Source organism: Homo sapiens, chromosome 18, assembly GCF_000001405.40.
Source record: "Homo sapiens chromosome 18, GRCh38.p14 Primary Assembly".
NCBI classification, from domain to species: Eukaryota; Metazoa; Chordata; class Mammalia; order Primates; family Hominidae; genus Homo; species Homo sapiens.
Genome location: NC_000018.10, coordinates 76,794,409 through 76,822,360, shown reverse-complemented (window position 1 = coordinate 76,822,360; position 27,952 = coordinate 76,794,409). Strand labels below are relative to the sequence as shown.

General features: G+C 46.2%; 1 long non-coding RNA gene and 1 pseudogene across 1 annotated transcript, besides 6 other annotated features; both read left to right on the top strand.

The window, feature by feature from the left end:
* Window positions 33-222: a silencer, noted in NCBI's record as "silent region_9560". NCBI's record gives its function as "represses an Ori minimal core promoter by ATAC-STARR-seq in GM12878 lymphoblastoid cells {active_cell/tissue: GM12878}" and the evidence as "EXISTENCE:reporter gene assay evidence [ECO:0000049][PMID:35858748]".
* Window positions 66-27,629, top strand: ZNF236-DT (ZNF236 divergent transcript). Its single transcript, NR_040024.1, has 3 exons — window positions 66-345; window positions 5,519-5,606; window positions 26,703-27,629. It is a non-coding gene; the product is annotated as a ZNF236 divergent transcript (long non-coding RNA).
* Window positions 293-402: an enhancer, noted in NCBI's record as "active region_13515". NCBI's record gives its function as "activates an Ori minimal core promoter by ATAC-STARR-seq in GM12878 lymphoblastoid cells {active_cell/tissue: GM12878}" and the evidence as "EXISTENCE:reporter gene assay evidence [ECO:0000049][PMID:35858748]".
* Window positions 443-522: an enhancer, noted in NCBI's record as "active region_13514". NCBI's record gives its function as "activates an Ori minimal core promoter by ATAC-STARR-seq in GM12878 lymphoblastoid cells {active_cell/tissue: GM12878}" and the evidence as "EXISTENCE:reporter gene assay evidence [ECO:0000049][PMID:35858748]".
* Window positions 1,920-1,999: a silencer, noted in NCBI's record as "silent region_9559". NCBI's record gives its function as "represses an Ori minimal core promoter by ATAC-STARR-seq in GM12878 lymphoblastoid cells {active_cell/tissue: GM12878}" and the evidence as "EXISTENCE:reporter gene assay evidence [ECO:0000049][PMID:35858748]".
* Window positions 10,681-10,770: an enhancer, noted in NCBI's record as "active region_13513". NCBI's record gives its function as "activates an Ori minimal core promoter by ATAC-STARR-seq in GM12878 lymphoblastoid cells {active_cell/tissue: GM12878}" and the evidence as "EXISTENCE:reporter gene assay evidence [ECO:0000049][PMID:35858748]".
* Window positions 20,036-20,085: a silencer, noted in NCBI's record as "silent region_9558". NCBI's record gives its function as "represses an Ori minimal core promoter by ATAC-STARR-seq in GM12878 lymphoblastoid cells {active_cell/tissue: GM12878}" and the evidence as "EXISTENCE:reporter gene assay evidence [ECO:0000049][PMID:35858748]".
* Window positions 21,587-21,697, top strand: RNU6-346P (RNA, U6 small nuclear 346, pseudogene; annotated as a pseudogene).
* Window positions 27,630-27,952: the final 323 nt, after the last annotated feature.

Sequence of the window (27,952 nt, the reverse complement as noted above, 5' to 3'; positions counted from 1 at the left end):
CGCGGTGGGGGCGTTGGGCGCGGGCGCGGGCGCGGTGGGGGCGGGGGCGGCGGCGGGGCGCATGCGCGGCGCCGCGGGGCCTTAGCGGACGGAGGGGAGCGCGGGGGTCACCGGGCCGGGCCGGCAGCCCTAGAGCTCGGCCTGGCGGGGACCCTGGGCCAGCCCCGCGCCTCCGTGGCCCGGGCGTCTCGTGCGTGTCCGCGAACTCGCGTGCGCGCGTCACCTCGGACCGCAGCATGGCTCGGAGGGCGGCCCTACTCGCGCCGCCCTAGTGCTGCGAAGGGCCTCGGAGCCCAAACCCGGAACCGCCATCTGGGACTGGGAAGACGACATGGCCAGAAGCCGGTAATGTTCCTTTCCCTGGGGGCAGTGCATTAAAATGGACCATTTCACGTGTGCTGGTCTTGTGTGTTGTTGCCTGCGCTAACTTACACGAAGTGGCAACAGGAACAGGCAGCGCAGCACCCGAGCGCCGGGTGGAGAGGCCGGCCGAGCCCGGGGAAAGCGACCTTACTCTGTCACCTGGGCTGGAGTGCAGTGGCGCAAATTAAAGTGTGCAGTTTGATACATCTTGACACATGTATACACTGTGAAACCATCATCACAATCAACAGTGAAGATGTTCCTCCCGTCTCTCTGTAACCCTTTCCTCTCTCCCTCCTTCCCTCCTCCCCCTCCCACCCATCTGCTTTTTGTCACTATAGTTTGAATTTCCTGGAGTTTTTAAATATCTTTTTATACAGACTGGGTCTCGCTTGCTCTGTCACCCAGGCGGGAGTGCAGTGACACGATCGGGACCCACTGTAGCCTCAAACTCCTGCCCTTAAGCAATCCAACTGCTTCAGCCTCCCGAGTAGCTGAGACTGCAGGTGAGGACCGCCATGTCTAGCTTTTTGTTTTTTTTTAAACATATGGGGTCTCTCTGTGTTGCCCAGCCTGCTCTGGAACTCCTAGCTTCAATTGACCCTCTGCCTCAGCCTCCCAAAGTGTTGGGATTGCAGATGTGAGCCACTGTGCCCAACCTGTTTTTCTTGGTGTTTTATATAAATGGAATTGTATCGCACGTAATCTTTAGGGAAGTGGGGGCTGTTCATTGAGCATAATTATGTTGGAATTCATCTATATATTGATAAATATTTTAAGTGCTTTTTATTGCTGAGCGGTGTCTAGGAGTCATTCTTGCTTACCCTTTCCCACTGCAGCCTTCACTCAATCTCATCAAAGATCTAGCTCCAATATATAAACCAAATCCAAGCCATTCCCACGTATATTACCCCTGAGCCATGCTCTCTCACCTAGATTACAGATACAGCCTAGTACCTGGTCATCCTCCAATCAGTTTTGTCTACAGCCATGCGAGTCTTCTCTCTATGCCTTAAATAAGACAAATGTATTCCAGCTCTTTTGAATATTTCCAATTGTGAAATGTTCCTCTTTATTTCTAATAATGCTTGCTATTGTCAACTTTGCCTCATATGTAAATAACACCACCAGCTTTCTTTCCTGTGTGTACCTTTAGAGTTAAGTGAGTTTAAGAAGTGTGTGTGTGGCCGGGCGCGGTGGCTCACGCCTGTAATGCCAGCACTTTGAGAGGCCGAGGCGGGCGGATTACGAGGTCAGGAGATTGAGACCATCCTGGCTAACACGGTGAAACCCCATCCCTACTAAAAATACAAAAAAAAAAAAAAAAAAAACTTGGCCGGGCGTGGTGGCGGGCGTCTGTATTCCCAGCTACTCGGGAGGCTGAGGCAGGAGAATGGCGTGAACCCGGGAGGCGGAGCTTGCAGTGAGCCGAGATCCCGCCACTGCACTCCAGCCTGGGCGACAGAGCGAGACTCCGTCTCAAAAAAAGAAGTGTGTGTGTATGATGTTTGTTTGTTTGTTTGTTTTTAAGACAGGGTCAGGCTCTGTTGCCCCGGCTGGAATGCGGTGACGCTGTCTCTGCCTACTGCACTCTCTGCCTCCCCGGCTCAAGTGATCCTCCCACCTCAGCACCCCAAGTAGCTGGGACTGTAGGTGCTCACCACTATGCCTAGCTAATTTTTTGTGGACATGGGGTTTCACCATTTTGCCCAGGCTAGTGTCAATCTCCTGAGTTTACCTGGCTTCCCAAAGTGCTGAGATTACAGGCATGAGCCACCGGACCTGGCCAAGTATTTTTTTTTAAATCCAATTTGATAATCTTTATCTTGAATGAGAGTGGTGGCTCCCAAATTTGCTGCACTTTAGAATGATCTGGAAAGCTTTTAAAAGTCCCAATGCCCTGTTCATACCTCACATCCATAAATCTGACAGGAATGGGAACCATGCATTGGTGTTTCGTTATTGTTGTTTTTTAAGATCTGCAGGTAATTTGACGATGTACAGCAAAATTTAAGAGCTAGATCATTTGGTACATTTATGCAAAGTACTGATATTTTTACATGTAAAGATGTCTTTTCACACTTTCCATTTGACTCATATGTTTTATGTTCTTTACGCCTTTCTTGCTTTCTTTTGGATTACTGATGTTTAAAAATTATCAGTAATTTTTAAATTAAATTAAATGGTGAAACCCCATCTCTACAAAAAATTAGCTGGGCATAGTGGTGAGCACCTATAGTCCCAGCTACTTGGGGTGCTGAGGTGGGAGGATCACTCGAGCCCAGGAGGCAGCGAGTGCAGTAGGCAGAGACAGCGTCACTGCATTCCAGCGAGGTGGATCACACCTGTAATCCCGGCACTTTGGGAGGCCAGGGTGGGTGGGTTGCTTGAGCTCAGGAGTTCATGACCAGCCTGGGCGACATGGCAAAACCCCATCTCTATCAAAAATACAAAAAAACGGCCAGGTATGGTGACGTGTGTCTGTGGTCCCAGCTACTCAGGAGGCTGAGGGGAGAGGATCACTTGAGCCTGGGAGGTTGCTGTGAGCTGAGATTGTATCACTGAACTCCAGCCTGGGTGACAGAGTGAGACTGTCTCAAAAAAGCTTTATATATATTTTTATATATATGAGTATTTTATATATACACTATATTACATATATTTATGTATAAAGCTATGTATATTTGCATATATATAGCTGATTTATACATATAAATAGCTTTTAGTGGTACACTTGAGATTATAACATGCGTTCTTGACTTATCAATGTCTAATGTAAATTAGTATTTTTTCCTCTTCCCAGACAATGCTAAAACAGTTTATTGGATATTTTAGTTATTTCTGTATTTAAAACTTCACAAGACACAGTACTGTTGATGTTCATTTTGATGGCCCACATATATGCCACTATCATTGTGTTTTATCCTTCTGTGACTTTCTAGGGTCATTTCCCTTCCACCTGAAGTACCCCTACTATTATTTCCTTTAGAGGAGGTCTGCTGATCATCTCAGTTGTGTTTGTCTGAAAATATTTGTATTTAATTTTTATTCTTAAAAAATATTTTTTCTGAGTATGGAATTCTAGGTTGTCAGCTCGTTTCTTTCAACACATTAATGATGTAACTCCACTGTTATGTGCATCCATATTTTCTGCTGTTTTTTGAAATAAATATTTTCCTCTGACTGCGTTTAAGTGTTTCTCTGTCTTCAATTTTCTTCAATTTTACTATAGTTTATCTGGATGTATATGCCTTTTTATTCGTCTTATTGGGAATTGATTAGACTTACTGAGTGTCTGGATTGTTGTATGTCTTCAATTTTGGAAAATTCTTGGCTATTATATATTCAAATACTGCTTCTGCCCAAATATCTCTCTTCTAACCTACTAGAGTTTAATTAAACATGTGTTGGAGGCCGGGCACTGTGGCTCACACCTGTAATCCCTACACTTTGGGAGGCCGAGGCAGGCAAATCATGAGGTCAGGAGTTCGAGACGAGCCTGGCCAGCGTGGTGAGACCCTGTTTCTACTACAAATACAAAAATTAGCCAGGCATTGTGGCGCATGCCTGTAGTCCCAGCTACTCCGGAGGCTGAGGCAGGAGAATCGCTCAAACCCAGGAGGCGGAGCTTGCAGTGAGCCCAGATCATACCTTTGCACTCCAGCCTGGGCAACAAGCCGAGACTCCGTCTCAAAAAAAAAAAAAACACACACATGTTGGATCATCTTACACTTTTAAAAAAAAATTATTCTATATGAGGTTTTTATCTTTTTGTTCCTTTATCGTTCGTTCTGGTTTATTCTGATCTATCCTCCAGTTTATTAAATTGCTCTGTGGCTATGTCAAAACTACTGTTGAACATACCTATTAAGTTCTTAAGTTGGGTTTTGGATTTTTCAGTTCCTGAATTTTAGTTGACTCTTTTTCACGTCAGCAGAGTTTGCTTTGTTTTGTTTTTTGAGATAGGGTCTTACCCTGTCACCCAGGCTGGAGTGCAGCGGCGCAAACACAGCTGACTGCAGCCTCGACCTCCAAAGCTCAAGTGATCCTCCTAAGTAGTTGAGACTACAGGTGTGCACCACCATACCTAGCTAATTTTTTTTTTTTTTTTTTTTGGTATTTTTTGTAGAGATGGGGTTTTGTCATGTTATCCAGGCTGGTCTGGAACTCCTAGGTGCAAGTGATCTACCTGCCTTGGCCTCCCAAAGTACTGGATTACAGGCATGAGCCACCATGCCCAGCCCAAAGTAATTTTTTAAAATATACTGGCCGGGCACGGTGGCTCACACCTGTAATCCCAGCACTTTGGGAGGCCGAGGCGGGCGGATCACAAGGTCAAGAGATCGAGACCATCCTGGCTAACGGTGAAACCTCATCTCTACTAAAAATACAAAAAAAAAAATTAGCCGGGCATGGTGGCGGGCACCTGTAGTCCCAGCTACTCGGGAGGTGGAGGTAGGGGAATGGCTTGAACCCGAGAGGCAGAGCTTGCAGTGAGTGAAGATTCGCACCACTGCACTCCAGCCTGGGCCACAGAGCAAGACTCCATCTCAAGAAAAATAATAATAATAAAATGTTCTAGGCCGGGTACAGTAGCTCAAGCCTGTAATTCCAGCACTTTGGGAGACTGTGGCAGGTGGATCACCTGAGGTCAGGAGTTCAAGACCAGCCTAACCAACATGGTGAAACTCCATTTCTATTAAAAATAACGAAAATTAGCCAGACATGGTGGTGCATGCCTGTAATCCCAGCTACTTGGGAGGCCGAGGCAGGAGAATCACTTGAACCTGGGAGGTGGAGGTTGCAGTGAGCTGTGATCGTGCACTCCAGCCTGGGCAACAGAGTGAGACTCAAAAAAAAAAAAATATATATATATATATATATATATGTTCTATTTCATTTTAACCTCATGAACCTAATTCCTGATAATTCTGTAGGGAGTGCCTGTGTGTCTTTTTTTTTTTTTTGGTTTCTAATTTGTGCTGATTCTTCTTGTGTTGCCCTGCCTTCTTGTTTGTCTAGATATATGAAAGAAATGACTTGGAAAATTACTTAAAAAGTAATTTAAGGTATAAGATGATATTCTCCAATAAAAGATTTTCATCTGCTTCTGCCAGGTTCCTGGCATTCTGTGACCACCTTTGTTTTATTTCAGACTGGACAGCCGGCACCACCCCATGATTCAAGGATGGCCATAGCCCAGTGCAGGAGCAGATTTGCTTCCAGTTTGCCCTTCCTCCTAGGTACAGTCCATGGGGTTTTCAGCTCTCAGTGCTTAGCAGTTTCATAGGGCCCCCAGCCTTAGTAGTCTGGATTTAAAAAAAAAAAAAACACCTAGGCAAAAACAGCTTACAAATGCTGACTTAACCTGTCTTCTCTCGGATCCTGGGCTGACAGTTTCTAACTAACTTGTGAGCACTTCGTTGCCCTCAGTAGGAGCCTTAGTCTGATTCACCTAGTTGGCCACAACCAGGAGAGAAACGTCCTTATATCCATTCTCTCTAACCCATGTCAATCAGGCTCCCACCCACCCCATGTCACACCTTCACCCATGTGACTTCAAGGTCACAGTGATCTCCACACTGCCAAACACAGTGGTCCATGCTCGTCCTCCGACCTCCCAGGTGCATCTGGCGGCTCGCCACTTCCGGCTCTGACTTCACTGCTGTCCTCAGCCTCCTGGGCTGGTCCCTAGCTCCTCCCAGCCCCTTAACACTGCAGGGATCATTCCTGGGCTTCTGCTGTACCCACTCCTTGATGATCTCAATTACCTGCCTTCACACATCGGCCCTGTGCTGATGGCTGTCTACCTGCATCTCCGTCTAGCTGAACTCCAGGCTCCAGCCCAGAGAAGCAAGAAAAGAGCAAACAGAAGTTATTCACATGTGCATCAGGTATGCACACGGGAGTGCTCAAAGGGGTCGTTAGAATTTGAGATTTATTTATTTATTTATTTATTTATTTTTGAGACAGAGTCTCTCTCTGTTGCCCAGGCTGGGGTGCAGTGGCACAATCTCCACTCACTGAAACCTCCACCTCCCGGGTTCAAGCGATTCTCCCACCTCAGCCTCCCTAGTAGCTGGGATTACAGGCATGCGCCACCATGCCCAGCTAGTTTTTGTATTTTTAGTGGAGATGGGAGTTTCACCGTGTTGACCAGGCTGGTCTCGAACTCCTAGCCTCAAGGGATTCGCCTGCGTCAGCTTCCCAAAGTGCTGGGATTACAGGTGGCAGCTACCACACCCGGCCTTAAGGTCTAGATACCTAACTTAGTAGGGAAGAGGAGTGGGGAGAAAGGACACTTGTAGAAAATAAAATGACTTTTTGGAAAGATAAGGGGCCCTTTAGAAAAATAAGATAGCCGGGTGCAGTGGCTCACACCTGTAATCCCAGCACTTTGGGAGGCCAAGGCAGGCAGATCACTTGAGGTCAGGAGTTCGAGACTAGCCTGGCCAACATGGTGAAACCCCCATCTCTACTAAAAATACAAAAATTAATCGGGCATGGTGGTGTACGCGCACCTGTAATCACAGCTACTCGGGAGGCTGAGGCTGGAGAATCACGTGAACCCGGGAGGCAGAGGTTGCAGTGAGCCAAGATCACGCCACTGCACTCCAGCCTAGACCACAGCGAGACTCCGTCTCTGATAGTCTTGTGTCAATGTCTCAGTGTGGTGCTGGCTCTTCACCACTGAGATTAGAGTTGCTTTTGGGAGGGGATTTATGACAATTGAGTTCTTTATGGAGGTTCTGCTTTTAGTCAGAATAGGGATTTCAGAAATTCAGGTGCCTTTAAAAAAAATTCAATTATGTTAGATTCAGGAGGCACATGTGCAGGTTCGTTCCATGGGTATATTGTGTGGTGCTGAGGTTTGGGGTACAAATGATCCCATCATGCAGGTATTACAGTAAGCATGGTACTTACAACCCCCTCCTTCTCTCCCCCTCTAGTAGTCCTCAGTGTCTCTTGTTGCCATTTTTATGTCCATTGTACCCAGTGTTTAGCTCCCACTTATAAGTGAGAACATGGTATTTGGTTTTCTTTTTCTTTTCTTTTTTTTTTTTTTTTTTTTTTATGGAGTCCTGCTCTGTTGCCCAGGCTGGAGTGCAGTGGCACAATCTTGGCTCACTGCAACCTCCGGCTCCTGGGTTCAAACAATTCTCCTGCCTCAGCCTCCCAAGTAGCTGGGATCACAGGCATGCACCACCATACCCAGCAATTGTTTTTTTCTTTTTGTTTTTGTTTTTTTGTTTGTTTTGGGGTTTTTTTTATTTTTAGTAGAGACAGGGTTTCACCATGTTGGCCAGCCTGGTCTCGAACTCCTGACCTCAGGTGGCCCGCCCACCTCAGTCTCTCAGAGTGCTGGGATTACAGGCGTGAGCCGCTGCGCTGGACCGGTATTTGGTTTTCTATTCCTGCATTAATTCGCTTAGGATAATGGCCTTCAGCTGTATCCATGTTTCTGCGAAGGACATGACTTAATTCTTTTTTATAGCTATGTAAACTGTCTTCAGCTTGAAATAACTAATATGCCAACATGGCATATTTTGGGGTGCCACGCCCTGCTCCCTTTCATTGGTGTCCCCACCAGTTTCCCTGCTTCTTCCCTGTTGACCCCTTCTCTAGTAAGAGAAGATGGAACATACCAGCATTTTGTGAGGATTTTACGCGATAAAACATGTAAAGCATCTATTGAGTGGCAAGTAGCGAGCACATTGATCATTGATGAGACTCCCGTGAGTGTTGCTGGTGACAGTACAACATCAGAGCCACTCCCACCACCTCGCTCAGCCCCTTCAGTGGGTGTCCTTCCTTTCCAGGATGAAAACTCACAAAAATCCCATTATTTTGCTGATGACTTTTAGATATTGATGTCCTGAAGTCACTTTCAGTTAAGTTGGCCAGGCCTGGTGGCTCATGCCTGTAATCCCAGCGCTTTGGGAGGCTGAGGCAGGTGGATCACTTGAGTCCAGGAGTTCGAGACTAGCCTGGGCAACATGGCAAACCCCATCTCTACTAAAAATACAAAAATTAGCCAGGCATGGTGGTGCACACCTGTAATCCCAGCTACTAGGGAGGCTGAGGTGGGAAATCAATCACCTGAGCCTGGAGGTCGAGGTTGCAGTGAACCGAGGTCCTGCCGCTGCACTCCATCGAGCCTGGGCAACACAGAGAGACTGTCTAAAAAAAATAAAGTCTTGATTCAATCTAATATATTAATCAATTTTCCTCTTATTGATAAAAGGATACATGGTAAAGGATACAAAGGTAAACTTCCCTTCCTCCCCAGTTAGGACCACTTGTAGCTATTATATTTCTGCCTGGTTGGTGCTGCAGGCTTCTCTCTTTCTTCATAATATCTAGAGTATTTCTAATTTTTTAACAGCTTTACTGAGGCATAAATGAGATGCAACAAGCCACACATATCTAAAACTTACAATTTGATACATTTTAGCATATGTATACACCCATGAAACTACTTACCACTCCAATCAAGATAATAAACTTACAGCCGGATGTTGGCTCATGCCTGTAATCCCAGCACTGAGGGAGAGGCCGAGGTGGGCAGATCACTTGAGTATAGGAGTTCGAGACCAGCCTGGCCAACATGGTGAAACCCCGTCTCTACTAAAAATACAACAAATAAGCTGGATATGCTCGCTGGAACCCAGGAGGCGGAGGTTGCAGTGAGCCGAGATTGTGCCACTGCACTCCAGCCTGGGCGGCAGAGCGAGACTGTCTCAAAAAAAGATAATGAAGATAGGCATCAGCCCCGAAGGTACCACTTGTTTACTGTCTCTCAGACATCAATGTTCCTTGCTGTCTGATGTCTAAAGTCATGACAGTGATTTTTTCATGTGTTCTGTCTAGTTTTTTTAGAAATTGGGTTAAATTCAGTCCGTTTCATTCCATCTTGAGTGGGGAAGACCCGAATTATTTTTTAAGGGAATGAATGAATACCTCACTATATTAGTTGGGGTTCCCCAGAGAAACAGAACCAATAAGCTATATAAAAGATATAAAAGAGGAGACTTATTAAAGAATTGGTTCACATGATTATGGAGGCTGAGATGTCTCCCGTCTGCAAGCTGGAAAACCAGGAATGCCAGTACAGTCATTCATTCTGAGGCCAAAGGGCTAAGAACCAGGAGGAGCTCAATGTCCAGGGCACAAGGGAAGTCACAGCTTGAGGTAAAAAGGCAAATTGGCGCTTCTCAACCCTTTTTGTTCTTCTGTGTGGGCCCTCAACCGGTGAGATGATGCCCACCCTCGATACTGAGGGTGGAGTTTCGTTAGCCCGTCAACCAACCCAAATGCTAATCTCTTCTGCATATGCCCTCACAGACACACCCAGAAATACATAAAATTAACCTTCACACTCCTTAAAATCACTAAAAAGCATTAAAAGCAAAGGAAGTTTGATGTTGAAAACTTGCTTGTTGGTCTGGCTTAGCTCTGCCAGTTTCTGAGTCTTTCAAAAGTTATGTAGTTGGACCCAAATAACTGTCGTTCTTGAAAAAGAAGGATACAATTGAAAGCCTCGTGTTTCTTGATTTCAAAACCTGCTACAAAGCTACAGTAATTAGCTCCGAGCAGTGGTGTATGCTTAAAATGCCAGCTACTTGGGAGGCTGAAGTGGGAGGATCACTTGAGCCCGGGAGTTTGAGGCAACATAGTGAGGCTGTGTCTCTTGAGAAAAAAAAAAAAAAAGCAGGTGCAGTGGCTTATGCCTGTAAATCCTAGCATTTTGAGAGGCCGAGGCAGGAGGAATGCTTGAGGCCAGGAGTTCAAGGCCAACCTGGCCAAGCCAATATGGTGAGACCACATCTCTGAAAAGAAAAAAAATAATAAGGAATAAGCTACAGTAACGAAAATGGTGGCACTGACAAAGACAGATATACAGTCTAATAGAATGGAATTGAGAGCCCAGAATCCCAGATCCCCTCCTGGGATCACTTGAACCCAGGAGGCAGAGGTTGCAGTGAGCCGAGATCTCACCGTGGCACTCCAGCCTGGTGGACAAAAGCAAGACTTCGTCTCCGACAAAAAAAAAAGATACAGGTTGTAAAGAGCTTGCTGATAAAACAGGTTGCAGTAAAGAAACCAGCTAAAACCCACCAAAACCAAGATGGCAACGAGAGTGACCTCTGGTCGTCCTCACTGCTACACTCCCACCAATGCCATGACAGTTTACAAATGCTGTGACAATGTCAGGAACTTACCCTATGTGGTCTAAAAAGAGGAAGCATGAACCATCCACCCCTTTTTCTTAGCATATCATCAAAGGCTTCTGTGAAATAGATACCGGCCAGCATGGTGGCTCTCGCCCATAATCCCAGCACTTTGGGAGGCCAAGGCAGTAGGGTGGCTCGAGCTTAGGAGTTCGAGACCAGCCTGTCCAACATGGTGAAACCCCTTCTCTACTAAAAATGCAAAAATTAGTCGGGCATGGTGGCACATGCCTGTAATCCCAGCTACATGAGAGGTTGAGGCACGAGAATCACCTGAACCTGGGAGGCAGACGTTGCAGTGAGCCGAGATCATGCCCCTGCACTCCAGCCTGGGCAACAGAACAAGACTCAGTCTCAAAAAAAAAAAAAAAAAAAATTCAGGCCCAGTGCAGTGGCCCACACCTGTAATCCCAACACTTTGGGTGGCCGAGGTAGGAGGCTCTCTTGAGCCCAAGAGTTGGGCACCAGCCTGAACGACATAATGAGACCCTGACTATTTTTTCAAAAAAATTAGCCAGGCGTGGTGGCAAGTGCTTTTGGTCCCATCTTGAGAGACTGAGGCGAGAGGATCGCTTGAGCCCAAGAGGTCAAGGCTGCAGTGAGCCGTGATCGTACCACTGCATGCCAGCCTGGGCGACAGAGTGAGAACTTGTCTCAAGAAATATATATATATATATATAAATATATATTCATGACACTTCTTAAAGACGATAAGGAAGGCTTTAGTCAAGCAGGGTCATGATCTTTACTCAAGGGACCCCTTTGTAGGGACCTTGAGTAGGGACCACTTTGCAAAAGGGCATAGAGATTGGTCCCAACTGTAAATACAACAAGAAAAAGTGGGTATTTATAGCTAAGGAGAAGGTGGAAGGTCACTGGATGGAAACTTACTAAGAGGAGACATCAGAGGGAGGACTCTGGTTAAGCCAACCTCACAGGACCTGCAGAGGGCAGGCCAGGGAGATCAGACGTGGCCTGGCGGAGGGTGGAGGATGAGGAACCTGTCAGATATCGAGGGTCGGGGGTGTAGCTGAACTGGCTGAGCAGGACTCTTGCTAAAATTGGACAATACAGAGATAACACAGAAATCCAGAAGTCAGGACCTAGTTGAAAAAGCACCCAGAGCCTAGAATGGAGAGAAGAAAAAAAGAGGGGAAAAGGAAAAAGTACCCCGAGGAGCCCAAATGGAGTTAGGTGAAGGAGATGATGGTCTCCGGCATCGCTCATCTCTGCACTCACCACTAGTGCTCAGCACCCCTGGGAAGCCGAGTTAGGTGAAGGAGATGATGGTCTCCGGCATCGCTCATCTCTGCACTCACCACTAGTGCTCAGCACCCCTGGGAAGCCGAGTTAGGTGGAGGAGATGATGGTCTCCGGCATCGCTCATCTCTGCACTCACCACTAGTGCTCAGCACCCCTGGGAAGCCGAGTTAGGTGGAGGAGATGATGGTCTCCGGCATCGCTCATCTCTGCACTCACCACTAGTGCTCAGCACCCCTGGGAAGCCGAGTTAGGTGGAGGAGATGATGGTCTCCGGCATCGCTCATCTCTGCACTCAGCACTAGTGCTCAGCACCCCTGGGAAGCCGAGTTAGGTGGAGGAGATGATGGTCTCCGGCATCGCTCATCTCTGCACTCAGCACTAGTGCTCAGCACCCCTGGGAAGCCTACAGAGATCACAAAAGTGAAAAAAGTCATTTCATCCTTAACCCAGTCCTTATCCACAATTCCCCCAAGGGCATGACAATGCCAGGGCTCCTGTTTCCTAAACTGGCCTCTGTGGGGAAAGAAGAAGAATGCTTTTCATTTGAGATTAATGGGACACATACCGTGGAATGCCATGCAGTGGGAATGGGATACAATGATGAAAAAAAGCCCACCCCCAGTCTTAAGAAACTTGCAGGTTTTGTGGGAAAGGGAGAGGCAGCAAATACTACGATACGAGGGGGAGAGGTAAGTGGAACTGGAGAGATCAACCTGTGGGCTCCCTTCCAGAGCCCGGTGACCCCAAGGACCCTGGATTTTGAAGGCTGATCAAGGGCAGTGCATGGGAGAGAACAGCGGAAAGAGATGCCTTCAGCTTCACAGGTGTTTGCTGGGGTGATAGTGGCTTCGAAAATCAAGACCCCTTGGAGACTGGAAAAAAACCTACATGCAAACAATTGCTCTGGGAGTTGTAGCAGTAAAGTCGCTTCTGCCTTTTATTGCATAATTAAAATACCTCCATGGAATAACCTTTTTTTTCTTTTTTTTTTTTTTTAGGTGGAGTCTCGCTCTGTCACCCAGGCTGGAGTGCAATGGCACGGTCTCAGCTCACTGCAACCTCTGCCTCCCAGATTCAAGCAATTCTGCCTCAACCTCCTGAGTAGCTGGGACTACAGGCACGTGTCACCACGCCCAGCTATTTTTTTTTTTTTTTTTTTTTTTTTGAGACAGAGTCTCCCTCTGTCGCCCAGGCTGGAGTGCAATGGCGCAATCTCAGCTCACTGCAAGCTCCGCCTCCCCGGTTCCCGCCATTCTCTTGCCTCAGCCTCCCGAGTAGCTGGCACTACAGGCGCCTGCCACCCATGACCGGGTAATTTTTTTTGTATTTTTTAGTAGAGACGGGGTTTCACTGTGTTAGCCAGGATGGTCTCGATCTCCTGACCTCATGATCCGCCCGCCTCGGCCTCCCAAAGTGCTGGGATTACAGGCGTGAGCCACCATGCCCGGCCTTAATAACTTTTTAAAGGATGTCAAGTTAATGGAATGTATTCTGCTTTAGAAAATAAAACTCTTAGGTTTTCAAAACTTAGCAGCCCCAGCATTACCAAGGGCCTGCCTACCGTTTACAGTATGTGAATCCTACTTCCTTTTCATGGTTGTAAGACTGGGATTTTCTGGGAGCCGACCTGCAGGAGTCCACAGGCCACCCGTTAGGACTGTGCACGCTCCTCCACAAACATGCCTGTGGGGGGATCCTTGGCTCTCTCTGCAGGGGTGCGTTGGGTGTGCACCAGCTGGGAAGGAAGGATCTGTCGGAACTGCAATCAAAGCCACGGCAGGCCTCCCAGGGTCTTACTGGTGGTGAAAACAACCAGCTTCCTCGTCCCTCCCTCAAGCATGGCAACCACCGCCCTGAGACTCAAAGATACCTGGAGGAGTGTGATCGGGCTGACCTGTTGCTCTTATCTGGAATTCTTTGAGGGTGATGGGAGATCACTTCTTTTTTTTTTTTTTTTTTTTTTTTGAGACAGGATCTTGTTTTGTCAACCAGGCTGGAGTGCAGGTTCAGGTGATTCTTCCGCCTCAGCCTCCCCAAGTAGGCTGAGTAGCTGAGAAAACAGATGCGCACCACCATGCCTGGTTAATTTTTGGATGTTTTGCAGCCATGTGGTTTCACCATGTTGTCCAGTCTGGTCTTGAACTCCTGAGCTCAAGGGATCCTCCCACCTCGGCCTCCCAAAGCATTGAGATTACAGGTATGAGCCACTGTACCCGGCTACCCAGGAGATTACTATTTTTTGGCATAAAACCAAACAAAACTATTCATTAGTTTATCCACTCAACATTGATTTATTATTCCTGACTGCAGCCAACAACATTGTGAATACTTTCCCTGCCTCAAGCTCTGTTCTAGGTCCTAGAACATTCATGACAATTTGTTTCTCTGCCCTCTGGCAGGTGAGAAAACTTTGTAAGAAGTTTCAATAGCAAAAAGTATGAGAAGATGTACAATAGATCTGGGACTATTTGTAACAAACCCGGTGGAAGATGTAGGAGCAGAGGTGGAAGGCCTTAAAGAGGGTCCTGCGCATGCCGGGCGGGCCTCCAACAGAGAAAACACACAACCTGGCCAGGCACAGTGGCTCACGCCTGTAATCCCAGCACTTTGGGAGGCCAGTGCGGGTGGATCACCTGAGGTCAGGAGTTCGAGATCAGCCTGGCCAATGTAGTGAAACCCCAGTCTCTACCAAAAATACAAAAATTAGCCGGGCTTGGCACAGGCTTGCAATCCCAGCTGAGGCAGGAGAATCGCTTGAACCTGGGAGGTGGAGGTTGCAATGAGCCAAGATCATGCTTTTGCACTCCAGCCTGGACGACAGAGTGAGACTCTGTCTCAAAACAAAATAAATAAAATAGACACGCAATCCATACCACAGCCACCAGGGTGATTGTCCAGGTTGTATTTCTGCTGACATCGACCCTTCATGCCTTCCTCTTGTTGACCCTTCCAGCTACACCTAGCTCGGTCCTCTTCGGAGCCACGCCAACACCCAGGTTCCTCTGCAGTGCATCCCCATGGGGATTTACCCGGTGATTGATTTTATTTCTTTATTTATTTTTATTATTATTATTATTTTTGAGACAGAGTTTCACTCTTGTTTCCCAGGCTGGAGTGCAGTGGCGCAATCCCAGCTCACTGCAACCTCTGCCTCCCGGGTTCAAGCGATTATCCAGTCTCAGCCTCCCGAGTAGCTGGGATTACAGATGTGTGCCACCACGCCCAGCTAATTTTTGCATTTTAGTAGAGACGGGGTTTCGCCATGTTGGCCAGGCTGGTCTCGAACTCCTGACCTCAGGTGATCTGCCCGCCTCGACCTCCCAAAGTGCTGGGATGACAGGCGTGAGCCACTGATCCGGCAGTTCTTAATCAGACAAAACTCAGCCCCAACTCCAGTAGCTGATGCAGGGGTGGAATTTCATTCTGCTTCTTCCTTACTGTTATTTTATGCAAGGGGGTGGAGCGTGTGCGTGTTGGGGACGGAAAAGTGGGAAAGGCAAATGGTCCGCTGGACCACAGTGGTCATTGTATGGGTCAGAAATCAGGTTACTCTTAGAGAAAGAAACTATTGAGAATCAACCCAAAGGGAATTAAATGAACACCTGTAAAGGAATGTGGGGACTTACTAAGCACGGGGCTGAGAAGATGCCATCAGGCAAGGGTGATTCCGATAGTCGGAGGAAGCTACTCCCTGATATAGCGAGGACTGAGGCTCACATGTCACAACCGGTCATCGTAAAGACCAGCGGTGCTGCTATACCTCCCACAGTACATAGAATAACCCCGTAAAGAATGACCTGGCTGGGGCCTGAGAGCATTGCTTTACCTGGAGGTGCAGCCAGTCAGCCAGGGGAACGAAGCAGTATTTGTGGGCTGAGCAGAGAGGGCCCTGGGCAGATCCTGGGTGTGTGCACATGAGGGCCCCGGGCAGGGCAGGGCAGAGGAGGTTGGGACACTGAGTCAGAGGTATGCTCCTGAAGGCAACCCACAAGGGGGCCAGTTCGTGGAACTGCAGGCCTGATCCTGAGCAGCATGGTGCGGAGCTGTCTGGACAGGCCTGCAGAGAAGGGCGCCTACCTTACTGAGGTCAACCACACACATCCAGTAGCCACAAGGCTGCTGTCGCAAGGCGGTGCCTGGCCTATCTTGTGATGATGTTTGTTTTTACACATAATGTTATGCTTTGCTTATGGACAAGCAATGGAGGCTGGCGAGGCTGCCCTGGGCCTGTTACACACCCAGAGGGCCCTGTGCCCACCTCAGGCCTCATTCTCTCCTGAGGAGAGAGCCCAGTGTCCGGAAGACATCCCTCCCCTCCTGTTTGTTCTCTCCTGCCCTCTCTCTGCTTCTGCTTTTAAGAAACACCTGTTGGCCAGGCGCGGCGGCTCATGTCTGTAATCCCAGTACTTTGGGAGGCTGAGGCGGGCAGATCAGGAGGTCAGGAGTTCAAGACAAGCCTGGCCAACATGGTGAAACCCCTGTCTCTACGAAAAATACAAAAATTAGCTGGGCATGGTGGCGCGTGCCTGTAGTCCCAGCTCCTCGGGAGGATGAGGTGGGAGAATCGCTTGAACCTGGGAGGCTGAGGTTGCAGTGAGCCGAGATGACACCACTGGACTCCAGCCTGGGCTATAGAACAAGACTCCCTTTAAAAAGAAAAAAAAATTCATGATCTGGAAGCCCGAGTGTAGCTAACTGGTGGACAGATGAAAGTGAAATGTGTGATGTTTCCTAAGACCCCCTAAGACTTCCCTGAGCCACGGGAGGCTCTCACGAGTGTGTAAGCCAGGGTTTTGGGGAAGGGGTGGATGTGTGTGTCTCGCATTTTCCCAGCTGCCTCTCCTTTCCCCTTCTTCCTTGCTCCCGGAGACTTCCTTGTGGATTCCTTCCCAGAACTTGGTCTGAATTCCCTAATAGACATTCTCCTAGCGGGATGAGTCCCCCTTTACAGCACTCGGGAAATGCCTGCTCCTCTAGCTGTCTCTGATCCACCTCTCCTGTCTTTCAACTAAGGCCCCCACATGCCAGACCATCGTTGGTGGACCTCGTCACCAGCATGAAGTGGGCTCTTGGAGTTGTCGACTGACTAGTTCACAATTAGTGACTCATAGCATCTCACTCATTTCCTTTTCATCAGTAGGAGGCAGCAGTCTGCACTTTTGCATCACATTTCAAAGACATCTGTGTGTTTGTTCTCGTGCAGAACACTTTGACTATTGTAACCTCTAGGTCCATGAATGACCCTCATCTTCAGTAAAAGTGGATTCACGCTGGCAAAGTCTGCTTTGTTTTATTGTGACACATGGAACATTATGGATTTTGGTGAATAAAAACTAACTTAAATTGAAGTCATTCTTGTAAAATGAAAATACATTTTTCTGCTGTTCTTAACTTTATAATATAGATACATACTATGTCTTATGAAATAGTAAATGGAAAACACGATTCAAAAAGCGCTATTTTGGTAAATAACTTGCATAAAGGGCATATGGACAACACAAGTCCACAACACAATAGACAACAGACAACACAACCTGTTACACAGGCACTCAAGTTCGTCTGCAGATTTGGTTTTCTTTTTTTTTTTTTTTTCACTCCTGATGCCCAGGCTAGAGTGCAATGGCGCGATCTTGGCTCATTGCAACCTCTGCCTCCAGGGTTCAAGCGATTCTCCTGCTTCAGCCTCCCGAGTAACTGGGATTACAGGCATGCACCACCACGCTGGGCTAATTTTGTATTTTTAATAGAAATGGGATTTCTCTGTGTTGGTCAGGCTGGTCTTGAACTCCCAACCTCAGGTGATCCGCCCGCCTTGGCCTCCCAAAGTGCTGGGATTATAGGCGTCAGCCACCAGGCACAGCCTACAGATTTGGTTTTCAATATCACTTGACATGCACAAAGTACGGGTGAACAAGCACTTTTATTCTTTTTTCTTTTTTTCTTTTTTTTTTTTTTCTTTTTGAGATGGAGTCTCGCTCTGTTGCCCAGGCTAGAGTGCAGTGGCGCAATCTTGGCTCACTGCAACCTCTGCCTCCCAGGCTCAAGAGATTCTCCCACCTCAGCCTCCCGAGCAGCTGGGATTAGGACCACCACGCCTGGCTAACTTTTGTATTTTTAGTAGAGACAGGGTTTCACCATGTTGGCCAGGCTGGTCTCAAACTCCTGACCTCAGGTGATCCTCCCGCCTCGGCCTCCCCTCAGCTGGGATTACAGGCGTGAGCCACCGTGCCTGGCCACAAGCACCTTTTTTCTTTATCTCCTATGTTTGAAATTAAAATGAAAAAAATGTATAAACCTTATTTAATTAACAAGTGATGAGTCATTTTTAGTAAATGGACCTAAATACCTTAAGAAAGCCATCAAGTGTCAAATAGAGAGATGTAAGCTACCATGGAGAGCCTTTCGGGACGTATGGAAGGAACCAGTTTGCAATGACAACATGCTGTGGGTGGTGCCTACCTACACTGAAAGATTCGGATGGGTTTTTCAGAGTGCCCTCTTCACTGTCTTCCTTCACCCAGCCCGCCTCCTCTTCCAGGACTCCGACCCACTTTCCTCCTGCGCCCTCTAGTGTCTGTCTGCTTTTCCGTTCCCCCCATTTCTACCTTAGGATTTTTCTGTGCCTTTCATTCATCCTCCGTCTGCGTCTCCCGTGGTACTGACTTCAAAACCCCTGACTGTACCGAAACTCGGTGTGAACGAGGACTGCAGTGCTGCTGGGGATGCATTCTCCATTTGTACTTGAAGAGTTACGTCAAAACCTAAACTGTAGGCCTGACAGATAATGATAATTTGTCTATGGCAAAAACATAAGCTTAACTGCCTATCCTAATATAACAGGAAGCTAAACTATTTATACTGAACTGAATTCTCCTACATTTACAACTCATAAACCTGCAGCTTCCTGGACAGGCAGCAGACACTCCCAAACTCCGCTGTGTCCTAGTATATAATACTTTCGGCCAACCTACATGTGTAACTTACATCATTTTCAGAATATGAATGCTTCAAGTGGCATATTAGACATTAATAATTTAAGCAATGAAATTAACTGATACAGAATATATAGGTAAATAATAAAAGAAGTAATTAAAAATCTTTGTTTCATCAGTTCATATTAGCTATATATGTTCTCAAGTCTCAAAGAAAAGGTATTATTTCAAAGCAACTTAAAAAATATTTAAAAATTAGCACCCTATAGTTCTCATTTAATAAGTTAAATGGGTAATTAATTGGCATTTTATTTCAATAGAAGCTTATTTCAAAAAGCTTTCTACAGAGTTATTTTGTGTAAAATGGTAATTATGCCCACAATTTTCTAAATGAAGCTTGCAGAAAGGGCTCATTTTTGCCATAAACATAATTTTCATTGATGTTTCCCTTAAAGACAAATGTTTCCTTCACTGAAATAGACTTTTGGAAATTGTTTAATTATTTTTACCTTGGCAATTATGTCACCTTCCTTGAATATCCTCATTAATTACATTGCCACTGGTACCTCTGAAGTATTTGGTGTTTTCTTAAGTTCTTTAAGCTCTTTATTTTATTTTATTTTATTTATTTATTTTTTGAGACAGTCTCGCTCTGTCGCTCAGGCTGGAATGCAGCGGCCTGATCCCGGCTCCCTGCAACCTCTGCCTCCCGGGTTCATGTAATTCTCCTGCCTCAGCCTCCGGAGTAGCTGGGATTACAGGCTCGCACCACCAAGCCCGGCTAATTTTGGTATTTTTAGTAGAGACAGGTTTTGCCATGTTGCCCGGGCTGGTCTCAAACTCCTGACTGCAAGTGACCCGCCTGCCTGGGCCTAAGTTCTTTAAGATCTTAATGTAGAGTCTGAAAAGAGGGTTTCAGTCTGGGATTAAGTGCCTTTTTTTTTTTTTTTTTTTTTTTTTGCGACGGAGTCTCCTGCCTCAGCCTCCCTAGTAGCTGGGACTACAGGCGCGCACCACCATGCCCAGCTAAGTTTTTGTATTTTTAGTAGGGATAGGATTTCGCCATGTTGGCCAGGATGTTCTCAAACTCCCAACCTCAGGTGATCCGCCCACCTCGGCCTCCTGAAGTGCTGGGATAACACGTGTGAGCCACCGCTCCCGGCCAAGTGCCAATTACTTAATATTCCTAACTTTTTAACATATCCTAAAATACAACTCCACACCCAAGTTCAGGCGCTCGCGGATGGTCTTTTGTTGGCCGCACTCCTCCCTCCGGCTCTGCTCCAGCCCAGCCCCAGCCTCCTACCCTGGGGGCACCGCTGTCCCGCGGCCGAAGAAGCTGCGCCGCACCGGCCTCTGCCGCCACCTGGCGCCCGGCCGGGGCACGACGCACTGGACACCTTCCTAATAATATGAGCCGCACGCTCCCGTGGGGCACCCCTGACCCTCGCGGCCGCGCGTCTCAGCGCCCCTTCCGTGGGCTGCGGGTCTCACCCCCCAATCCCACTCCCACGTGGGCCCAGGTTCCTTCCGGGTTGAAAGCAGGGAACCTGCAGAGCTCACTCATCCTAAAAACGACCTTAATCCTGCTAGCCTCCAGGAGCCCCGCACCCTGCTCGCCCTGGCCCCGGGGAGGGCACCCCATCCCGCCACCCCACACCCCAGAGCCGACTCAGGGCTAAATCCTCCCCTTAGCTCCGTCAGGGCCCTGAATGACCCCCCCGCACACCCGTGCGCACTTCCCCTGGGCTGGCCTGACCCCCATACCTGCAGCCCCTTCTTTGCCCAGTCCCTCAGCTGCTCTCAAAGCCAGTGTCCTCAAGACTGCGCCTGTCACGGTCGTGCGTGGTCCCCACGCAGTCGGCGCCTAGACCTATCCTACTGGATCGCCCAGAGGCCTCAACGGAAGGCTGTGCTTTCTTTTTTCTTCTTTGGGGGGCGAGGGAGGCAGGGAGAGGGGTCTCGCTCTGTCGCTCAGGCTGGAGTGCTGTGGCGCGATCTCGGCTCACTGCAACCTCTGCCTCCCGGGTTCAAGCAGTTTCCTGCCTCAGCCTCCCAAGTAGCTGGGACTACAGGGCCCCGCCATCACACCCAGCTAATGTTTTTAGAGATGGGGTTTCGTCATGTTGGCTAGGCAGGTCTTGAACTCCTGACCTCAAGTTATCCTCCCGCCTCAGCCTCCCAAAGTGCTGAGATTACAGGCATGAGCCACTGCTCCGGCACTTAAAATCCACTTTTCATTACACATCACAATAGAATTGAGAAATGGTTTGTTCTTGTTATGTAGAATAAGAGATGACACTTCAAAATGATGATTTTTAAAAATTTTCGCTCAGCTCATGGGGCACCCACTTATTGAGCTTTTTATCTTTCCAATTTGCTTCAAATGCCAAACGACCATTGAATGGCCAACGTTGAGTTCTTTGGCAACTTCTCCTGTAGCGTAAGAGGATCAGCTTTGATGACTGCCCTCAATTGATCACTGTCAACTTCTGAAGGCCGGCATCTATTGGCAAAACTTCTCGAACCACCACTGCACTGTGTGTGCCCTAGCAGTTTCTGGGCCAAATGAATTGTTGATGTTGCCAGTTGTCTCTTCTGCATTTTGACCTCAAATAAGAAAATTGCTCAAATTTGCTTTTTGTCTAACATCATTTCCATAGTCTAAAATAAACGTAAAATAAACAGCAAGTAATGTCATTAGCAAAAAAAATAAAGCGAGAAATGCCCGTTAAAATGATGTATGACATATTTATTTAAGAACATATTCCAATATCAAACAGCAAATTCCAACAATGCAAAAACCACAATTACTTTTGCATTCACCTAAAATTGGAACGATACAGAGAAGACTAGCATGGCCCCTTAAAAAAAAATACATAAACTGCAGAAGGGATTATTTTATGTAGTCTAATTTGTTTTGTTTGTTTGTTTAGACCTAAGTATTGGCCAGTTTTTCATCCTTACATTTTTGTGTGTCTGACCTTCATCTGGCATCATCTTCCTTCTGCCTGATATACAGGTATATTTTTTACAAGTTTTCTTAGTGAGGATGTCTAGTGGCAAACACTCATTTTTTTTAACTGAAAATGTCTTTATCTTACCCTAATTCTTTTTTTTTTTTTTTTTTTTTTGAGACTAGATCTCACTCTGTTGCCCAGGTTGGAGTGCAGTGGCACAATCATAGCCTAGTATCCTCCATCTCCTGGGCTCAAGTTATCCTTCTGCCTCAGCCTCCCAAGTAGCTGGAACTACAGGCATGCACTGCCATGCCCAGCTAACGTTTTAAAAATTTTATTAGAGACAAGGTCTCACTATGTTGCCCACGCTGGTCATGAACTCTTGAGCTCAAGCTCCCCGCCTCCCAAAGTGCTGGGATTACAGGTGTGAGCCACTGCACCCGTATTTTGCTCTAATTCTTTTTTTTTTTTTTTTTTTTTTTGAGATGGAGTTTTGCTCTCGTCAGCCAGGCTGGAGTGCAATGGTGCGATCTCGGCTCACTGCAACCTCCACCTCCTGGGTTCAAGCACTTCTCCTGCCTCAGCCTCCCGAGTAGCTGGGATTACAGGCACGCACCACAACACCTGGCTAATTTTTTTTGTATTTTTAGTAGAGATGGGGTTTCACCATGTTGGTCAGGCTGGTCTTGAACTCGTGACCTCAGGTGATCCGCTTGCCTTGACCTCCCAAAGTGCTAGGATTACAGGCAAGAGCCACCACGCCCGGCGCTCTAAATATTAAAATATATTTTTTTTCTACATATAGTATTTTAGGTACACAATTATTTTCTTTTGAGCCCACTAACAATATTCCATTTTTAGCTCTGCCTCTGTTGTGGGTGATGAAAATAGATAATCTTTGTTCATTTGGACATCTCCATCGTCTTCAGTGGCTGCCTTGGAGGCTTCTCTTAGTTGTTGGTGCTTGATAACTCATTATGGTGCCTAACTGTGGGTTCTTTTTATTTATTCCATTTACTTATTCATTAGAAATTCTCAAGAATTATAATAATAATAATTATTATTATTATTATTATTATTATTATTTTGAGACAAAGTCTCACTCTGTTGCCCCAGGCTGGAGTACAATGGCGTGATCTTAGCTCACTGCAACCTCCGCCTCCCAAGTTCAAGCGATTCTCCTGCCTCAGCCTCCTGAATAGCTGGGATTACAGGTGCCCGCCACTACGCCCGGCTAATTTTTGTATTTTTAGTAGAGACAGGTTTTCACCATGTTGGTCAGGCTGGTCTCAAACTCCCAACCTCAGGTGATCCACCCGCCTCAGCCTCCCAAAGTGCTGGGATTACAGGCATGAGCCACCACACCTTGCCTCTCAGAAATTATTTCTGAGGAATCATCTTAGAAACATTTCTACAAATATAATCTTAGCCTTATTCTTTCTCTTTCCTCTGAAATTCCAACACCCATATGACAGGCCTTGTCATTGTATTCTCCAAGTTTCTGAACTTTTTTTTCATATTTTCTCTTTTTCTCTCTATACTGCATTCTGGGTAACTTTATTAGATTTATTTTGTAATTCACCAATTTTATCTTTTACTATGTCTTCCGTTAAACCTCTCCATTTGCTCTGATGATTTAATTATTTTTTGTCTTTGTAATTTGGTCCTTTCTCATATGTGCTTGGTCAATATTTTTCGATTTTTTAATTCTAAAATTAACAAACATACACAAAAAGTTTGAGTGGATCACCTGAGATCAGGAGTTCAAGAGCAGCCTGACCAATATGGTGAAACCCCGTCTCTACTAAAAATACAGAATTAGCCAGGTGTGGTGATGGGTGCCTGTAATCCCAGCTACTTGGGAGGCTGAGGCAGCAGAATTGCTTGAACCTGGGAGGCAGAAGTTGCAGTGAGCCAAGATCACGCGCCACTACACCCCAGCCTGGGCAACAACAGTGAGACTCCATCTCAAAAAAAAAAAAAAAAAAAAAGAAAGAAAGAAAAGAAAAGAAAGAAAGAAAGAAATGTATTTTCTACAAATAAAGAGTTTTACTTTTTCCCCAAAACTGGAGCCTTTAATTTCTTTGTCTTGCTTTATTGCACTGGCTAAAACCTCTAGTATAATGATAGATAGAAATGGTAACAGGAAATATTTGTTTTGCTTTCCTGCTATTAGAAAGAAAAATGAGTCTTTGACCATTAATTATTATACTGGCTGTAGTTTTTTTTATAGAAGCCCTTTATCCTACTGAAGACATGCCCTTCCTTTCCTAGTTTGTGAGTGTTTCTATCATGCATGAATGCTGGATTTGCTAAAATTGTGTTAAGAAGTTTTGCATTCATATTCATGAGGGCTCTCAGCCTGTTCTTTTGTTGTTGTCTTTCTTGGAACATGTTTTTTGGGTCTTTGTATCAGGGTAACACTGGTCTCTGAATTGGGAAGTATTTCTCTCTCTTGATTCTTACCAAACACACACTTTTCAAGTCATAGAAACGATGTTTCAGCTTTTGAATTTGTTGCTGTTCCTACCTTTTGTTCTCAGCTGCCAAGGATGAAACACCAGCAGATAGGGTGCAAGCTATGCAAGGGTGATGAAGAAGGAAAAAGGTTGGCATCGATCATTTGCTACCAGACACTGTTACAGGTTGTTGTTGTTGTTGTTGTTGTTTATTGAGACAGAGTCTCATTCTGTTGCCCAGGCTGGAGTGCAGTGGCATGGTCTCAGTTCACTGCAACCTCTGCCTCCCGGGCTCAAGCGAGTCTCCTGCCTCAGCCTCCCAAGTAGCTGAGACTACAGGCATGTACCACCACGCCTGGCTAATTTTTGTATTTTTAGTAGAGTTGGGGTTTCATCATGTTGGCCGGGTTGGTCTTGAACTCCTGACCTCAAGCAATCCACGTGCCTTGGTCTCCCAAAGTGCTGGGATTACAGGCATGAGCCATAGCACCCGGCCTGTTACATATTTAATCTCTTTTCATTGTCTCACAATTTCTTGAAGAGTGTACGATGACTCCCATTTTACAAGTTTGTTAAGAGAGGTTAAATATTCGCCTAAAATGACACAGTAAGTCTTGGAGTTGGGATGGAAAAGCAGCCTCAGGGCCTCTAGAGGCCTTGCATTCTTTCTTACACCAGGTAAGCAGAGTGAAGAATATACCTAGTAGTTCAGGAAACTGTGATCTAGAATTTAACTTGAGTTCACTCCAGAGTTGTTTAATTTCACAGATTCCAAATTAAACTAAATCCTGACACTGGCCTGAAGTTTGAAAATCAAGTTTAGCCTAAAGCTGCCTCCTAACATATTTTAAGTTCGGCCTAAAGATTTCTCTCTACGTCTTGTGAACTATATAGCATGTGGACATGTAAACAGACCATAGCCTACACCTGTTTTGGCCAATCAAATGTATCCAACTGCTTGAACTGTGTTTTTTTGTTTGTTTTGTTTTGTTTGTTTGTTGACAGTTTCACTCTTGTTGCCCAGGCTGGAGTGCAATGGCATTATCTTGGCTCACCACAACCTCCGCCTCCTGGGTTCAAGTGATTCTCCTGCCTCAGCCTCCCAAGTAGCTGGGATTACAGGTGTGCACCACCACACCCGGCTAATTTTGTATTTTTAATAGAGATGGGATTTCTCCATGTTGGTGAGGCTGGCCTCGAACTCCCAACCTCAGCTGATCCACCCACCTCAGCCTCCCAAAGTGCTGGGAATACAGGCATGAGCCACCTCGCCCAGCCTGAACTATGTTTAAATAAGGCAAATGCTGAGTTGTAACCAATCTGGCTGTTTCTGTACCTCACTTCCATTTTCTGTACATCTCTTTCCTTTTTCCGTCCATAAATCTTCCACCATGCAGACGCACTGGAATCTCTGCGAACCTGTTGTGATTCCGTGGGCTGCCTGATTCGCAAATTGTTCATTGCTCAATTAAACTCCTTTAAATTTAATTCGGCTGAAGTTTTTCCTTTATCAAGTTGAAACTGTCTGGAGTAGTTCCAGGGGTAAACAGTTAACTTAGTTTAGCACCTAAGCAAATAGAAATAATATGATAGTGAAAATAATACTAATAACAACTTATAATAACTAGATAAATCAAATGTTTGCTAAATCCAATCTGAAATTTGTAGCGATACCAGGCAACCTCATCTCATGACTTTCTAGGAAGCACTTGGCAGCCCAAGAAAGTGGACACAGTTCCACATGACAGGGATCATTGAAGGGATCATGTGAGGACCAGCAAGGAACTGATGGGGGCTGGGGGTGAGGGGCTGGGGGGATGTTAGGTTGCTAACAAGAGCGTGATTTCAAAAAGCACAGTCAGCTGCTCTGAAATAAGGACAGTGTTATTCAAATGTAACCTCCCAGTGGATTCACCTTGCCTGCTGCCTAGACAGAGTCAATTTATCAAGACAGGGGGATTGCAATAGAGACAGAGTAATTCATGCAGAGCCGGCTGGGCAGGAGACTAGAGTTTCATTATTACACAAATCAGTTTCCCGAGAGCATTCGGGGAGCAGAATTTTTAAGGACAACTTGGTGGGTAGGGGGAAGTCAGTGAGCCGGCAGTGCTGATTGGTCAGAGATGAAATTAAAGGGAGACAGAGCTGTCTTCTTGCACTGAGTCAGTTCCTGGGTGGGGTACCACAAGATCACATGAGCCAGTTTATCAATCTGGGTGGTGCCAGCTTGAGTGCAGGGTCTGTAAAATATCTCAAGCACTGATCTTAGGAGCAGCTTAGGGAGGGTCAGAATCTTGTAGCCTCTAGCTGCATGACTCCTAAACTATAATTTTCTTTCTTTCTTTCCTTCTTTCCTTCCTTCCTTCCTTTCCTTCCTTTCCCTCCCTCCTTTCCCTCCCTCCCTCCTTCCTTCCTTCTGCATGACTCCTAAACTATAATTTCCCCTCCCCTCCCCTCCCTTCCCTTCCCTTCCCTTCTCTTTTCTTTCAACAGAGTTTTGCTCTTGTCGCCCAGGCTACAGGACAACAGTGGCGTTATCTCCGCTCACTGCAACCTCCGCCTCCCAAGTTCAAGCAATTCTCCTGCCTCAGCCTCCCACCACCACACCTGGCTAATTTTTGGATTTTTAGTAGAGATGGGGTTTCACCATGTTGGCCAGGCTGGTCTCAAACTCCTGCCTCAACCTCCCAAAGTGCTGGGATTACAGGTGTGAGCCACCACGCCCAGCTGTTTAATCTCTTTTTAATAAAATATTTCATTGTTATCATTGGATTCTCACAGCACCATTTGAGGTATACGAGCGGTGTTAGTCCAATTTTAACACACGTGCTCAACTCGTGGAAAATGAACAGCAGAGCTGTTCTCCAGAGATGTTCAGATCTGCAGCCCAGGGCTTTTTTCTGTATGACCTTTACCCACAACAGCTCCGACTCCAATTTTTTGAGTTTATACCTGGATCCTACACCACCCTTCTCCAGCCCTGTGGTCCTTGACATTGTTTCTTTATTCATCTGCACCAAGGACTGAGGCAGAAGTAACAATCTGTTTCAACAACATCTACATTCAGAACATACTAGAAGATACAGCACACTTCTTACACGGATCAGCAATTCAGAAATGTTCTCTTCTCATTTTATTGCTTAGAGCTTCACGTTGGTGGGAAGCTTGTTTGGTCATAAAAAGAACTGCCAAGCACAGATACGCTATGACCCTGCAGGTTCCTGGGGAGAGGCAACACATCTTCATTGGAGAGGACAGTTGAATATGTCTCCTCTGACACAACTACACAGACCCCTTTCCAAGCTCTGCAGCCATCCTCCCCACCTAATGAAATAAAATGTAGATTTCTGTTGTTTAATTGCACCTAATAAATCTTTTTTTTCTTTCAACCACTTTGAATAAACATATATTGTCAATCAATCTTTTGAGTTTCCACTTCTATAAAACATTCTGGGGCAGTGTACAGTACAAACTTCAGTGACGTAAACTACCATTTGGAAGTACGATCTATGTGTGTATTTCCACTTAAATAAGTAAGAACCCATAATGTGTTCCATCGTCCATGGAAATGTTACCCTGTAGCAATTTTCCAGGCCTCCTAGCCTTCAGCCTTGACTAATGGCTTCAGTTCATTCTTCCAGAAAATTAAAGAGGCTGTTGTCATTCTGTGGTGGATACAAAGTTAGATAATTTTTCTCCCGAAAAGATAAAACACAAAAACATTCTTATATTTGGAGGCAGGA